The sequence below is a fragment of the Homo sapiens genome, chromosome 1 (genome assembly GCF_000001405.40).
Source record: "Homo sapiens chromosome 1, GRCh38.p14 Primary Assembly".
Lineage (NCBI taxonomy): Eukaryota > Metazoa > Chordata > Mammalia > Primates > Hominidae > Homo > Homo sapiens.
In genome coordinates, this window is record NC_000001.11 from 99,745,916 (window position 1) to 99,762,164 (window position 16,249).

The 16,249-nt window shown below is 37.7% G+C and overlaps 1 protein-coding gene across 8 annotated transcripts in view, besides 1 other annotated feature; it reads right to left on the reverse strand.

Annotated features, from left to right (window-relative positions):
* Positions 1-16,249, reverse strand: part of FRRS1 (ferric chelate reductase 1) — a 62,666-nt gene that overhangs the window by 41,946 nt on the left and 4,471 nt on the right. For 7 of the 8 annotated variants that reach the window (XR_946655.2, NM_001361041.2, XM_047420239.1 and 4 more), the window contains exons 2-4: positions 2,982-3,086; positions 2,658-2,853; positions 1,379-1,515 (exon numbers count right to left, since the gene is read on the reverse strand). Coding sequence is in view for 7 of the 8 variants with exons in the window: in NM_001361041.2 (NP_001347970.1) it covers positions 1,379-1,515; positions 2,658-2,853 (333 nt within the window). In the remaining variant the exon portion in view is untranslated. The remainder of the gene's footprint in view (positions 1-1,378; positions 1,516-2,657; positions 2,854-2,981; positions 3,087-16,249) is intronic. The other variant, XM_017001271.2, reaches the window with a different exon arrangement.
* Positions 12,341-12,430: an enhancer, noted in NCBI's record as "active region_1358". NCBI's record gives its function as "activates an Ori minimal core promoter by ATAC-STARR-seq in GM12878 lymphoblastoid cells {active_cell/tissue: GM12878}" and the evidence as "EXISTENCE:reporter gene assay evidence [ECO:0000049][PMID:35858748]".

Below are 16,249 nucleotides of genomic sequence, written 5' to 3' on the forward strand. Positions count from 1 at the left end.
TTCACCATGTGAAGTGTCTGCTCCGGCTTCAGCTTCTGCCATGAGTAAAAGGCCATGAGGCCTCCCTAAGGCCTCCCCAGAAGCTGAGCAGATGCCAGTGCCATGCTTGTACAGCCTGCAGAACAGTGAGCCAATTAAGCCTCTTTCCTTGTTAAATTACCTAGTCTTAGGCACTTCTTTTAGCAACACAGGAACAGCCTAATACAATATTAGACAATGCCCCTGCTACCCAGAACCCCATGAGCTCAACACCAAAGCCACTGAAGTAGCCTCCTTGCCTCCAAATACAATGTCTCTAACTCAGTCTCTAGCTCAGGAAGTCTTAAGGACATGTAAGGCTCTTTACACACAGTACTCGATGGAAACGATTGTCAACGCTATGGAAGAGAACTCTGATAGAACATCATGAAAGTCTGGAAGGATTACACCATTGAAGATACTATCGTTATTATAGAAAAAGCCAAGACAGCCATCAAACCCAAAACAATAAATTCCTGCTGAAGAAACACTGTATCTAGATGTTGTGCATGACTTTTAAAGATTTACAGAGCCAATCAAGGAATCATAAAAGAGACTGTGAATATGGAAAAAAAAGGTGGGGGACGAAGGGTTTCAAGACATGAATCTTCAAGAAATTCAAGAGCTAATAGACACCACAACAGAAGAATTAACAGAAGACAACTTGATGGTGAGTGTTTCCAAACCAGTGCCAGATGACGATGAGGACTATGGAGAAGAAGCAGTCCCAGCAAACAAACTGACATTAGACAACCTGGCAGAAGGGTTCCAATTATTCAACAATGCTTTTGCCTTCTTCTACGACATGGACCCTCCTATGATATAGCACTGAAACTAAAGCAAAGCGGGGAAGAATTGGTACCATATAGAAACATTTTTAAGAAAACGAAAAAACAAAAAAGTCAGACAGAAATTACAATGTATTTCTATAAAGTTACACCAGTGTGGTGCCTCTCCTGCCTCCCCTTCCACCTCCTCCACCCACCCCAAGACAGCAAGACCAGCCACTCCTCTTCCTTCTCCTCTTCAGCCCATTCAACATGAAGGCAATGAGAATAAAGACCTTTATGATAATCCACTTCTATTTAATGAATAGTAAATATATTTTCTCTTATTTTCTTAATAAGATTTTTCTCTTGTCTAGCTTACTTTATTGTAAGAATACAGTATATAACACATATAAATACAAAATATGTGTTAATCAACTATTTGTTATCAGTAAGGCTTCTGGTCACCAATAGGCTATTTGTAGTTAAGTCTGGGGGGAGTCAAAAGTTATACACAGATTTCCAATTTCCCCAGGGGTGGGGTCTGCACCTGTAACCTCCACATTGTTCAAGGATCAACTCTAAACACAAACCTGTATATCTTCACAGGTCAAAAGTTGTGACACTTCACTGTCAATCAATGTGAAGGAGCCAATAGGAGGGCCATTCAGATCCTCAGCATTACGCGCTTCTAGGAGAAAGCCTTTAAATGGATGCCCTGACAAAGTAACTGAGAAAAAGACAAAAGGGTTGGTTAAAAAGCTTAGTAATATCAAAAAAAAATGTTTAGAGGTTGTACATTACAATTACAATGAGGTCTACATATGCAAAAGTACTCCTGGAGAGAAAACAGTCATCTTATAGGCAAAGAAGCTCTAAACTTTTTCCATAAAATTTTTTCCAGTGTTCCATAAGATATTCAATCTGTGAGATATTAATAGCCATTCCGCAAAGAGAAAAGAAAAATAGGTGATGGTCCAGGGGCAGTCCATAAGGCTAAGTTAGTTTGGAAAATGCTAGATGATACCAATTGGGTACTATGCTTATCACCTGAGTGATGAAATAATCTGTACACCAAACCCTCGTGACATGGAATTTACCTATAAACAAACCTACACATGTACCCCTGAACCCAAAATAAAAGTTTAAAAAAAAAATGTTTACTTGACCTCATTAGAGGAAAAAACATGAGGTGTTTTCTTTTGAATTGCAGTATTTAACACAGTGTCTGGCTCACAGTGACACTCAATAAATTCTTATTGAATTACAAAAAAAGAAAAACACTGGATGAAAGTAAATACTTGTTTCTTTACTGCAAATTTCTTAGGATATTTAATATCCTACTGTACAGTGTGAACTCTAAGGTATATTATATATCACACAGAATATTCCAAACTTATTTTTCTATATACTCTCTATGTAACAGAGTACCTGTTAACATTTTGCATTTCTAGAGTTGCAAAAAATAGTTTGCAAAATGCTGTTATAGATTTATCTTTAATAATCAGCCTACATTTTACCAGAGAAATTAGAGAATTGTTCTTAAAATTATATGATATCAAGAAGGACAAGGGTTTATTATATTTTAAACAAGATAAAATAAACTTCATTTTTCTCTTCTCTTGAAGTGATAGCACAATTAATAAAAATAGTAAATAACGATAAAAACTTATTTTAAAGCCTGTTCTGGATGGGGAATACACAGACTACTTAAGTAATACAGTCATCTGGAACCAAAAATAAGAAGTATGATAGTATCTTACAAAAGAAAACAGATTTAAGTGAAATCTTCTAAATCAAGTAATAATAAAGATTCAATAAACAGTAAAAGAGTGAAATCCAAAATGTAAACAGTTAATCCCAGCACGGTACCTTCAATCTGATCTCCTGGCCTGAATGTCATCTGACTCACGTAAATGTCATGAACAGGAACAGACTGTGGACTATGACCATGTTCAGGAATCATTCCATGGCATGACTGTGTTACTTTTCCATTGGGATAATTAGCCACATAACTAATGTGCAACAGAAGTATGCAGGTACCAAGAGTAAATCCAGAAACTGCCATCTCAAAAAGAAGGGTAAAAGCCCATTATTGTCATATATAATTAAAATATAAAAGCTTTTACACAACTGGACCATAATTCTAGATAACTACTTGCTTTCTGTGTTCAGCAAACCATATTCTCAACATACCTGATAAAAAGAATGTGATATGTGAAGTTTCACCCGAATTTCAATCTCAGCTCTACAAATTACTGTGAGACTTTGGGCAAATCATTTAATCCTCCACTTCCTTACCTGAAAAATAAGGAAACAAAGATCTCTTTTCAATGCTGTTTTTTTTTTCTCGAGACATAGATCTCGCTCTGTTGCCCGAGCTGGAGTGCAGTGGCACAATCTCGGCTCACTGCAACCTCCGCCTCCCGGGTTCAAGTGATTCTCTTGCCTCAGCTTCCCCAGTAGCTGAGAATACAGGCATGCGCCACCACACCTGGCTAATTTTTGTATTTTGGTAGAGACGGAGTTACACCAGGCTGGTCTCGAACTCCTGACCTTAGGTGATCCGCCCACCTTGGCCTCCCAAAGTTCTGGGATTACAGGCATGAGCCACTGTGCCTGGCCCAATGTTGTTTAAATAAAAATGAAAATATAGCTCAAAATCTGACAAGGAAGATAATAAATAATAGCTTTCTTTATTATCAATTGGAAATAATAAACTAGTCAATAAAAGCAAAAGGTTTTACTCCACGTCATCCTAGAAAGCTTAAAGAACAAAGAAGAAATGTTTCTTCTGGATTTAAATATCATCACCTGAATAAATCTATGATAAGACTTTTCCCAACTTCCTATTAAACTGATCATGATGACTGGGTGGATTATTTAATTTGCAATACTGAAAACTGAGGATAACAGAGAACCAATTGGTAGAGATAATAATTCTACTACATGTAGCCCAGATACTTCTGAATTAAGAAACACAATTGTCAGCCCACACAATCTTCTTCCCTCCCACAGCTCCAATCTTCCTCTTAGCATCTGGATAATAGAAAACCAGCTACTTTACCTCAGTCCCACACTCTTGTAGCCCAGATCAACCACTTTGCTTCATGCATATATTCAAAACCTGCAAATCACAGGACTCAACAAGGCTGGAGGTGATGAGCAGTGACATGATACATGGCAGTAAATAAAGTTAACACCATGGACAGGTTGCAGATGGGAAACACCTAAGAGGCAGTTTATTATTTATAGAAAAGGAGTTTTCTATATCATATATCTGGTCATAGACAATAGCAGCCTTAGAATCACTAGAAAAAATTATTGTTTTTTAGTTATGTCAATCAGGAGCAACTATTTAACCGCAGCCTAACCTGCTGGGGTTTTATCAGAGCCTACATGACCTGGAGGATGGGAAATACCCAATTCCTGCCCACATTAGCCATCCTGTTTCACTTAAGTGGGGGAAGAACCTTGAAGCGGTTGTGAAGTTCACACTCCAGGGGCATAAGCTCACTAAAATACTGAGGTCTACTCACAGGACTACAGAACAGTTCTCCTCCTCCCTCTCCTTACCACCACATTATTAAAGGCCTATTTACAGCAGTTCCTTTTACCCACTGCATCATGTCCAGTTATTAAGAACAAATTACAAGGCATACTGAAAGGCAGAGAACACAATTTGAAGAAATAGAGCAAGCCTCAGAACCAGACTTAGGTATGATGGAGATGTTGGAATTATTAGACCAGGAATTTAAAACATTATGATTAAGATGCTAAATGCTCCAATGGATAAAGTAGATGGCATGCAAGAACAAATGCACAGAGATGGAAATTCTCAGAACCAAAAAGAAATGCTAGAGATCAAAAACACTTTAAAAGAAGTGAAGTATGGGCTTGTGGGTAGACTGGACATATCTGAGATAAGAATCTCTTAGCCCGAAGATATCTCAATAGAAAAATATCAAACTGAAAAGAAAAAAAAAAAGACTGAAAAAGAGAACAGATCCAAGAACTGTGGAACTACAAAAGGTACAACAAATGTGGAATCGGAATTCCAGAAGGAGAAGAGGGAAGGAAACAGAAGAATTATTTGAAAAAATTATGACTGAGAATTTCCCCCAAACTATTATCAGACACACAATACCAAGTAGGATAAATAAATAAATAATAAATAAAAAACTACATCTAGGTATATATGATGGTTAATTTATATGTCAACTTGACTGGGCTGAGGGATGTTCTGATAGCTGATAAAATATTATTTCTGGAAGTGTCTATGAATGTATTTCTAAAAGAGGTTAGCATCCCAGTCAGGAAACTGAGTAAAAAGATCACCTCACCAAAGTGGGTAGGTATCATCTAATCCTCTGAGGCCCTAAATAGAATAAAAAAGCAGAGGAAGAGGGAATTACTCTCTCTTCTTGATCTGAGACATCCCTCTTCTCTTGCCCTCAGACATCAAGGTTCCTGGTCCTGGGGCCTTAAAACCACAGGACTTACACCAGCAATCCTTTCCCCAACCCAAGGCCCTCAGACCTGAACAGGAGGTGCGCTATGGGTTCCCCCGGTTCTTAGGCCTTTAGGCTTACACTGAACTACTCCAGCAGCTTTCCTAGTTCTCCAACTTGTAGACAACAGATTTTGAGACTTGTGGGCTTTCAGAATCACAAGTCAATTTCCATAATAAATATCTATAATAAATATAAATAAAATCTTATTTTAATCTGTAACTGTGGAAAACCCTGATTAATATGGCATATCATTTTCAAACTACAGAAATCTAAGTGTTTTTTTAAATCCTGAAAGAAGCCAGAGGAAAAAGAAAGGAACAAAGATGAGAACTATATCTGACTTTTGCTCAGAAACCACACAAGCAAGAAGAGAGTAGAGTGAAATATTTAAAGTGTTGAGAGGAAAAGGTGGCACCATAGAATTCTATACCCCAAAAGATTATCTCTCAAAAGTGAAGAAGAAATAGGAAGACTTTCTCAGACAAACAAAAATTGAGGGAATGTGTTGCTGGTAAAACCTATCTTGCAAGAAAAGTGAAAAGAAATTCCTAAGAGAAAAGAAAAACAATAAAGGTCAGAAATTCAGATCTACATAAAGAAAGGAGAGCATTGGAAAAGAAATAAGTGAAGGTAAAGTAAAAATGTTTTTCTTCCACTTAGTCTAACATGAAAGTTTGTTCAAAATAATAATACATATAATTATTTTTATATGTTTATATATGCTTACTTTCGTATGCTTCTATATCAGCAAAATAAATGACAAGATATAAGGGATGGTGAGATAGAGCAGGGACCTCTCTCTTAGGGACCTACCTCTCTCAGCCTTCATAGAATTAAACAAAGGTAGGACCTTGCTCTGGATTAGACTTTGGCTTAAGGAAATGTTGTGGTTGGTTTGATCTTCTATCCAGACCACTAAAACTTTCTCCATATCAACAATAAGGCTGTTTTGCCTTCTTATCATTCATATGTTCACTGGAGTAACCATTTTGTTCAAGAACTTTCTCTTTGCATTTACAACTTGGCTGACTGGAACAAGAGGCCTGACTTTCAGCCACTCTTGGCTTTTGGCATGCCTTCCTCACTAAGCTTAATCATTTCTAGCTTTTTATTGAAAGTGAAAGATATATGACTCTTCCTTTCACTTGAACACTTACAGGCCATTATAGGGTTCTTAAATGGCCCAATTTCAATATTGTTGTGCCTCAGGGAATAGGGAGGCCTGAGGAGAAGGAGAGAGATTGGAGAATAGCCAGTTGGTAGAGCAGTCAGAACATACACAGTTATCAATTAAGTTTGCCATCTTATACGGGTGCAGTTTGTGTCTCTCCAAAACAATAGAAACATCAAAGATCACTGATCACAGATCACCATAACAGATATAATGAAAAAGTTTAGAAACTTGCAAAAGTGTGGCCAAGCGTGGTGGCTCACACCTGTAATCCCCGCATTTTGGGAGGCCAAGTTGGGAGGATCACTTGAGCCCAGTAGTTCAAGACCAGCCTGGGCAATATAATGAGACCCCCATCTCTATTTTTTAATTAAAAATAACAAATAACAAATAATAAAATAGAAATTTACCAAAATGTGACATAGAGACACAAAGTGAGCACATGCTGTTGGAAAAATGGTGCCAACAGACTTGCTCAATGAGGAGTTGCCACAAGCCTTCAATTTGTAGCCAGGAACAGGACAAGGGGGCTGGTCTCCAAACCCTGGGCTCAAGGGAACCTCAACCCTATTATCCCAACACTTTGAGAGGCTGAGGATGAAGGATCCCTTGAGTTCAGGAGTTCAAGACCAGCCTGGGCAACATGGTGAGCTCTCATGTCTACAAAAAATGAAAAAATTAGCTGGCTGTGGTGGCACGTGCCTATGACCCCAGCTACTTAAGAGGCTGAGGCAGGAGGATCCATTGAGCCCAAGAATTCAAGGTGGCAGTGAGCTACAATCACACCACTGCACTCCAGCCTGGATAATAAAGCAAGACCTCTGTCTCGATTTAAAAAAAAAAAAAAAAAAAAGGCTGGGTGCGGTGGCTCATGCCTGTAATCCCAGCACTTTGGGAGGGAAGGGCAGGAAGATTGCTTGAGCCCAGGAGTTTGAAACCAGCCTGGGCAACATAACAAGACCCTGTCTTTTTCTTTTTTTAATAATTTTATAAATTTTTTTATAATTTGATTTTTTTTAAAAAGACAAACATTCGATTTGTAAAAAACACACTATCTGCAAAGCACAACAAAGTGAAGTGCCATAAAACAAGCTATCCCTGGCCGGGCGCGGTGGCTCACACCTATAATCCCAACACTTCGGGAGGCTGAGGCGGGTGGATCACGAGGTCAAGAGATCAAGACCATCCTGGCTAACATGGTGAAACCCCATCTCTACTAAAAAAATACAAAAAAAATTAGCTGGGCATTGCGGGTGGGCACCTGTAGTTCCAACTACTCAGGAGGCTGAGGCAAGAGAATGGCGTGAACCCAGGAGGCAGAGCTTGCAGTGAGCTGTGATCACGCCACTACACTCCAGCCTGGGCAACAGAGCAAGACTCCAAAAAAAAAACAAGCTGTCCCTCTATATCACTAATCACTTTAAATGTCAGTTGTCTAAATGTAGCAATTAAAAGACAGATTGTCAAAGTGGATCAGGAAACAGACCCTATTATGTGTTTTCTACAGGACACCCACTTTAAATATAAAGACACATATAGATTAAAAGTAAATGCATAGAGAAAGATATACTACATTAACACTAATTTAAAGAAAGCAGGAGTAGCTACGTTAATTTCAGACAGTAGACTTCAAACCAAGGAAAGTTATCAGAGATAAAGAGAGCTTTACCTAATAATAAAAGGGTTAATTCTCCAAGAAGACATAACAATGCAATAGAGCATCAAAATAAGTGAGGCAAAAACTATTAGAACTAAATGGAGAAATAGATGAATCCACTATCAGAAATGGACAGATCCAGGCTGGGTACCATGGCTCATGCCTATAATCCCAGCACTTTGTTAGGCCAAGGCGGGAAGATCACATGAGGCCAGGAATTCGAGACCAGCCTAGGCAACATAATGAGACTGTCTGTAAAAACAAACAAAAAATAAGTAAGTAAATAAATAGTTGGGTGCAGTGGACTACACAAGTAGTCTCAGCTACTCAAGAGGCTTAGGAGGGAGGATGACTTGAACACAGGAGTTCAAGGTTGCAATTAGCTATGGTCACACCACACCCCTGCACTCCTGCCTGAGCAACAGAGAGTGAGACCTTGTCTCAAAGAGAGAGAGAGAGAGAGAAAGAGAGAGAGAGAGAGAGAAATGCACAGATCCAGAAGGCAGAAAATCATTAAGGACATGGGTGAATTCAACAACATCAGTCAACTGGATATAATGGATATCCATAGACTATTTCATCCAACAACAGAATACACGTTCCTCTCAAGCTCACATGGAATGTTCACCAAGATAGACTACATTCTGGGCCATAAGATACAACTTAATAAATTTAAGAGAATAAATTCGTGGGATGCCGCAAAAGCAGTGCTTAACGGGAAATTTACAGCATTAAACACATATATAGTTACGTAAACAAATCCCTCACTAAATTAAACTACAGGAATTCCTGTTAAACGCCAGATATTGTGCTGGGAAATATACACTTTAACCAGCCCTGCACCTAATGCCAGGAGCTACTGAGTAAACAGCATAGGGTCCAACAGTACCATATACCCCACTATTTATCAAACATGAAAGCTGGGGAGAATTCTTTTCATTTAAGGAGGAGTGAAAGAAACAAATGAACCAACCAAGAGCTTCTGAAAAATATCTACAACATAAAAGGAGCTTAAGATTTCTCCATGGAGAAAATAATAATAATAATAATATGGTTGATTATTATAGGAAACAGAATATTTAAGGAAATAACTGCAGCCAAGTGCAGTAGTTCACACCTATAATCCCAACACTTTGGGAGACTAAAGCCGGAGAATTACTTGAAGCCAGGAGTTCAAGACCAGCCTGGGCAACAAGTGAGACCCTGTCTCTCCAAAAATTTAAAAAAAAAAAAATTAGCCAGGCACAGTGGCATGCCTGTAGTCTCAGCTACTCAAGAGGCCGAGGTGGAAGATGGGCTCCTTGAATCCAAGAGGTCAAAGCTGCAGTGAGCTATGATTGTGACACTGCACTCCAGCCTGGGGTCGGAGGGGGAGAGAGAGAAAGGGAGGGAGGGACAGACGGAGAGAGGGAAGGAAGGGAAGGAAGATCACTATTTAATCGACTTCGCCATTATTAAGAAGATTAAATGTAGTCATGTGCCACTTACCTAAAGAATGGTATAGTGAAAATAGTTACTTCAGTTTAACAAATATTTATTTGGCACTAACTTTCTGTCAGTGAAAATGGAAACAAAACTTGATATCCAGTCTCTGCTGTGCACTAAACAGCTGAACAGCATCAACCAAGTCACTAAATCTGTTTCATCAGTTGCAAAATACACCAAGTGAACCAGAAGACATTCAAGGCCACCTTCAATTCTAAAATTTTACGATTTTAGAAAAGCAAAGTGGAAAAGCATATTGGGAATTATTTGAGCAAGAAGTATAAGACAAGAAAGGGAAGTGACTAAGACACCACCACCCATCATCGATTAGGAAAATATAACAAGGTCAGAGAGGAACCTGTACAATGGCAACTTCTTTGTCCTCTGTCAAATGCTGACTGTTCAAGGTAAAGTTCAATTTTCATTATAATAGCTAATTATGGTTTTCTAGTTAATGTTTTAAGGTACAACTTTTTTTCAAACTAATACATAAATTCATTAGCCAACCTATATTAACAGATCACATAATTATGACAGAATAGGAGTTAGTCATGGAAACATTTAAGTTAAAATTATCGACTGTCAACAATAAGCTATTACATTATGAAATCACCCTTTAAGCACAGAAAGGACTCCTATCAATTATGCATGATTTTCTTAAATTAATATTCCCATTCTGTTGTCTATACAAAATAGACGATAAAACAAAAAAGATTTATTTTGTCCACCCAAGACAGAGAGATTTACTATTTTAAAAAACCAAAAGAGCAGTTATCCTGATTCTGTAACTAAAATATTCCCAAACCTGATGAGATTTGTACAGTTTTCTTTCTTACCTGAAAGACAAGTGCTTAGTAAAAGGGTATGATGACTGCTAACACCATGTTCTACATATATCTCACATAAAGATAAAACCTCAAAGCAAGTATATTCTTCATTATGTAAATACAAAATTCTTGTACTTAAATGAAAATGTAATTATTATTTGATTGTGGGCCACAGAAGCAAGTGATGTTAATAAAGAGAATATATTTATTACAAAGTAAAAATTCAGACAAAACTAGAATTCAATCAAAAATATTTAGATGTAAGAAAGTCATTGGAAAAAGGAGTATGTGTTAACAAAAGACTTTTTAAAATAAATCGGTCATTAAACGTCTTAGTATTGTGCAACTCTAAGAACATGTGAGAATAAGAAAAAAGAAGGAAAACAATCTTTTTAAACCATGTCAGATGATTAAGCTAGCAAACAGTGAATCATGTCTAGTTATATTGCATTCAAGTTCTAGCTCTTGTTAGTCATTTATTTTAAATTAAAGTATCAAAGGAGTTCAAAAGTTGACATGCACACAAAAAAATTGTGGGAACTCAGCCCAGTTACACCCACTCTACATTACCTAAGATATGAGTGAAGCAGGTACCGAGAGTCTTAATTAATGCATAGGTATGAGGCAACAAGGAATTCTTAATTATGAAGACTGAGATGCAAAAAAGCAAAAACTTAGCCAAAATAGTTCACTATAAAATATCTACATAATTTGGAAAAGGGTCTCTTTTTTTTTTTTTGCAATATATAGTGGTTTTAATTTTCGTTTACTACATCCAAAGTAAGAAATATTTTTACATTATAACCCAACAAACATTTCATGAAACATTATTTACCTTTACTACATGTTATAGATGTGTATGTTTCCTATTTCTTCCTTTTTTTGTTTTATGCTGGTTACACCCTACTGCATTATTTTACGATCTACCAATGGATCTTAACCTGCAGTCTGATGAACATTACTTTATGGCATGCATGGACCATTAAGTTTCAGCCTTGAATCAAATTCTAAATTAAGAGTATCAAGAATTTCAGTAAAAAAGAAAAGTTCTCAGAATCAAAGGAACAAACAGGCTAAGCAACAGGGAAAATTTTTGGAGATAGAAGCTGGATTTTGCCTTATTCTCACTTCATTCCATTTGTGAGCCTGAACAAAAAGTATAAATATGGCAAATAAATTAGCATTCTCACAGTAATCTTCTGTATGAGAAAGGTTGTTGTTTAACTACCCATAATATAAAAACGCAGTAATCCTTAAGTCACTTGGAAGCTCCTTTCAGAATTTCCATTGGTTGCATTTTTGTTTTTTTCTTCCATCAAGTACATTCTACAATGTTTAAGGTAAATAGCCACTTCCTACTAAATATTGTTTTCATTTTATTTTATTATGAGAATTACAATGGCATTATTTTCTTTTATTTTGGCACAAGTGCAATATATTTTAATTAATTTATGTCTTAAACATGCTTTTATTTCTAGGCTTTTGGCCTGAAAATAGAACCACCATTTATAATATTTGGAAACCAAAAAGTATCTATGACAGGTTTTAATCAACTTAGAAATTTATTTTGCCAGGCTAAGGAGAATGCCTGGGAGGAAAAAAAAAAAAACACAGAATCACAAAAACAGTCTATTGTCTGTGCCTTTCTCCCAAGATGACTTTGAGGGCTTCAGTATCTAAAGGGGAAAAGTGGGCTGGAGGGGAAAGAGGAACTTGTCATTCAGATGTTCCAAGACAAAATGAGCAGGTAGGGGAATAGTCAAGTATGCATTGGCTTATGCTCAGTAAGCTGGCACTTTACATAAGATAAGGTGAACATACAGTAGCTACCTGTGGAGATATCTAACCTTTTATCTGTAGCTCTCTGCTTTGAAACAAAAGGAAATGCAGTTGCTTGCATGACTCAGCTTTCAGCTTAATTTTAATAATGAATTGAGGTCGAGTTTAGGTTTTTCTTTCACATATTGCTTCTATTAGAAAATGAAATTGAAATTCCAAACTGAGTTAGAAACTAATCTGGTGTTGCAGGAAGTCAGGGACACTGAATGGAGGGACCAGCTGGAGCCATGGCAGAGGAACATAAATTGTGAAGATTTCATTTTAATATGGGCATTTATCAGTTCCCAAATAATACTTTTATAATTTCTTACTCCTGTCTTTAATCTCTTAATCCTGTTAGCTTCATAAGCTGAGGATGTACGTCATCTCAGGACCACTGTGATAACTGTGTTAACTGTACAAATTGACTGTAAAACATGTGTGTTTGAACAGTATGAAATCAGTGCTCCTTGAAAAAGAACAGAATAACTGATTTTTAGGGAACAAGGGAAGACAAACATAAGGTCTGACTGCCTGCGGGGTTGGGCAAAAAAAGCCATATTTTTCTTCTTGCAGAGAACCTATAAACAGATGTGCAAGTAGGGAAGATATCGCTAAATTCTTTTCCTAGCAAGGAATATTAATATTAATACCCTGGGAAAGGAATGCACTCCTGGGGGGAGGCCTATAAATGGCCGCTCTGGGAATGTCTGTCTTATGGGGTTGAGATAAGGACTGAGATACGCCCTGGTCTCCTGCAGTACCCTCAGAATTACTAGGTTGGGGCAAAACTCTGCCCTGGTAAATTTGTGGTCAGACCAGTTCTCTACTCTCGAACCCTGTTTTCTGTTGTTTAAGATGTTTATCAAGACAATACCTGCACGGCTGAACATAGACCCTTATCAGTAGTTCTGCTTTTGCCCTTTGTCCTGTTCCCTCAGAAGCATGTGATCTTTGTTAGACCCTTATTAGTAGTTCTGCTTTTTGCCCTTTGAAGCGTGTGATCTTTGTGCCTACTCCCTGTTCTTACACCCCCTCCCCTTTTGAAACCCTTAATAAAAACTTGCTGGTTTTGAGGCTCAGGGGGCATCAGGGTCCTACAGATATGTGATGTCACCCCCAGCAGCCCAGCTGTAAAATTCCTGTCTTTAAACTGTCTCTCTTTATTTCTCAGCCAGCTGACACTTACTGAAAATAGAAAGAACCTATGTTGAAATATTGGGGGCGGGTTCCTCCAGTAATCTGGGGACAGTGTACATTTCTTAGCTCAGCATTTCATCTAGGATTTGGGGCAAACCTGGTGGGCTTAGCATTGTCACCAAAAACCTAGACTGGGGATAGAGGTGGAAATAGGTGTTCACCTGCTGAGTAGCAGAGTTAGGTAGGAAGACTTTTAGAAAAATAGGTAAAACCACAGAAGGATAAGGAGATTGACAGAGTCAGCAAGTTAAGACTAAGCACAAGATATATAAAGACAGCAATAAAATTTTGTGGACAAAGGGAAAGAAAAGGATTGTAGTTTTACTGTAGAGTCAAAGGAAAGGAGACATAGAGAAAGACGAAAAGAAATGAACACTCAGTGATGACCCGGCAGTTAGAAACCACGTCTGATGGAATCCTTATAAGCAGCAGATTTATCTTCTTATTAGAGATGAGGAAACTGAGGTTAAGGAATATACCCTAAATCACACATACTTTTAGGATTTGAACCAAAATCTAACTGCAATAGCCATGTTCTTTTCACTGTTCATCACTGTTCCCTGTTTAGAGAGAAGGTGAAAAGTAAACAGGTCCAGCAAGGATCAACATTTCACAGGGACAAACAAAGTGAGTGGGGAGCTATTGGGACAAAGGTTGAAATCTAAGTTCGCCTACCTAATTCAGAATGTTAAATCTGCTTTATAAGAGACTGAATAGCAATGTAGAGATTTATTTCATAGAACTAAAACTCCAGAAAGAATGAATGTAAAAATCCATAGATGCCTGAAAACAGCAAGTTGTCAGTAAGTGGTAATTGCCACTATTTATAATATCACTATTAACTTTCCATCTCCTCAATATGTGCTAATTTCTTCTGAACACTATTGGGCTTAGATAAACTGAGATTTTTGCATGTTTCTTGCATTTGTATTTAATTTGTTCAAACGTAAAATATTTCAGAAAATGTGCTCCTTTTCTTTCTAGTAATTTAATTTTACCTTCATAGAAAACTTCTATGCCAAAAACTAAGTTGACTTTGATAGCTGAAACTCAAATTATAGGGAAATTGAAAAATAGGTCAAGTATTTCCACTTCCCCAGATAAAAATGTTTCAGACTCCATTTTCACAGAAGGAAGTGAAGAAAAAAATGATTTTTTTAAATTAACAATCAGAGTTATGACATTTTCAGAGAAGGTTCTAAAAAACAAAGAGCATAAAAGTGGCACATTCAATACCAATTTAAGATCTGTCAGATCTGACAACTTAAGATGGTAGGAAAGACTTCTTTTTTTTTGAGATGGAGTCTCGCTCTGTCGCCCAGGCTGGAGTACCATGGTGTGATCTTAGCTCACTGCAACCTCCGCTTCCTGGGTTCAAGCGATTCTCCTGCCTCAGCCTCCCAAGTAGCTGGGATTACAGGCACCTGCCACCATGCCTGGCTAATTTTTGTATTTTTGGTATAGACGGGGGTTTCACCATGTTGGCCAGGCTGGTCTTGAACTCCTGACCTCAGGTGATACACCTGCCTCGGCCTCCCAAAGTGCTGGATTATAGGCATGAGCCAATGCGCCTGGCCAGTAGGAAAGACTTCTGAAAAAGATTTTAGAGTTTGAGTGAAAGTAAGACAAAGTAAGGGGAAAGGAAGAAAAAAACACTGGGAAAACAAAGTAATTTGAAACTCTACAATCTAATCCTAGTTTCTCTAATCACAGCACCATCAGCAAGTAATCTTTCAATTTTCTTTTTAATTTTGTTTTGGGGGGGTGGGGGAAGGGTCTCATCTCACTCTGGCGCCCAGGATGGAGAGCAGTGGTGCAATCTCGGCTCACTACAACCTCCACGTATCAGACTCAAGCAATCCTCCCACCTCACCCTCCCAAGTAGCTGGGACCACAGGTGCATACCACCATGCCCAGCTAATTTTTTAATTTTTTTGTAGAGACAGGGTCTGACTATATTACCCAGGCTGGTCTTGATCTCCTGAGCTCAACCAATCCTCCCGCTTGGCCTCCCAAAGTCTTAGGATTACAGACGCAAGCCACCTCACCTGACCAATTTTTCCATTTTCTTTATTCATTTTCTGGAAAAATGATTGGAAACAAATATCTTATTACATGATATACAGGTTTCATTTGGATCACTCCATGTAGCCCTCACAATAATTCTTTCCTTAAAACAAAATTCAGTGCTAAGTGGAATGGCCCCTTCTCTAAAGACCCAAAACTAATAGATAAAACAATAGTAAATACTATTAACCTATAATTGAATAATGTTACTATTTATTAAGTGCCTGCTCTATTCCAGTCATCACAGTCCTGCTTTACATGTATGAATGCTAATCCTTGGAAGAAACATACAAGGGTTTTTTCTGTTGTTGTTTTTACTGGTATGGAAACTGAAGCTCACAGAGCTTATAAAAAAAAAAATAGTGCCTAAGATCACACAGGGACAGAAATTTTAAAACTGCATTTCGCTATAGTAATTTAGAGGTATGGAAGAAATAATAGTAGAAGAGTTAACAATTACTAAGGGCTTACAACACATCATGTCAAGGACTTAGTATGCATTCCTCAGAACAACCTAGGGAACTATGGGAGGTACTATTGTCCCCATATGTAAAATAGGGCACTGATTAAGACACTTGCCAAAGTTACAGAAAATGAGAGGTGAAAAGTATGGTCTCTGGCCTACTTTGTGAGGTTTTGATCACCAAACTATCCATAGCTTCAAATCAGACCCTTAAGGCTGACACAGTAAGTAAATAAGGCATTATGGAAAAAGAGGGATTCTG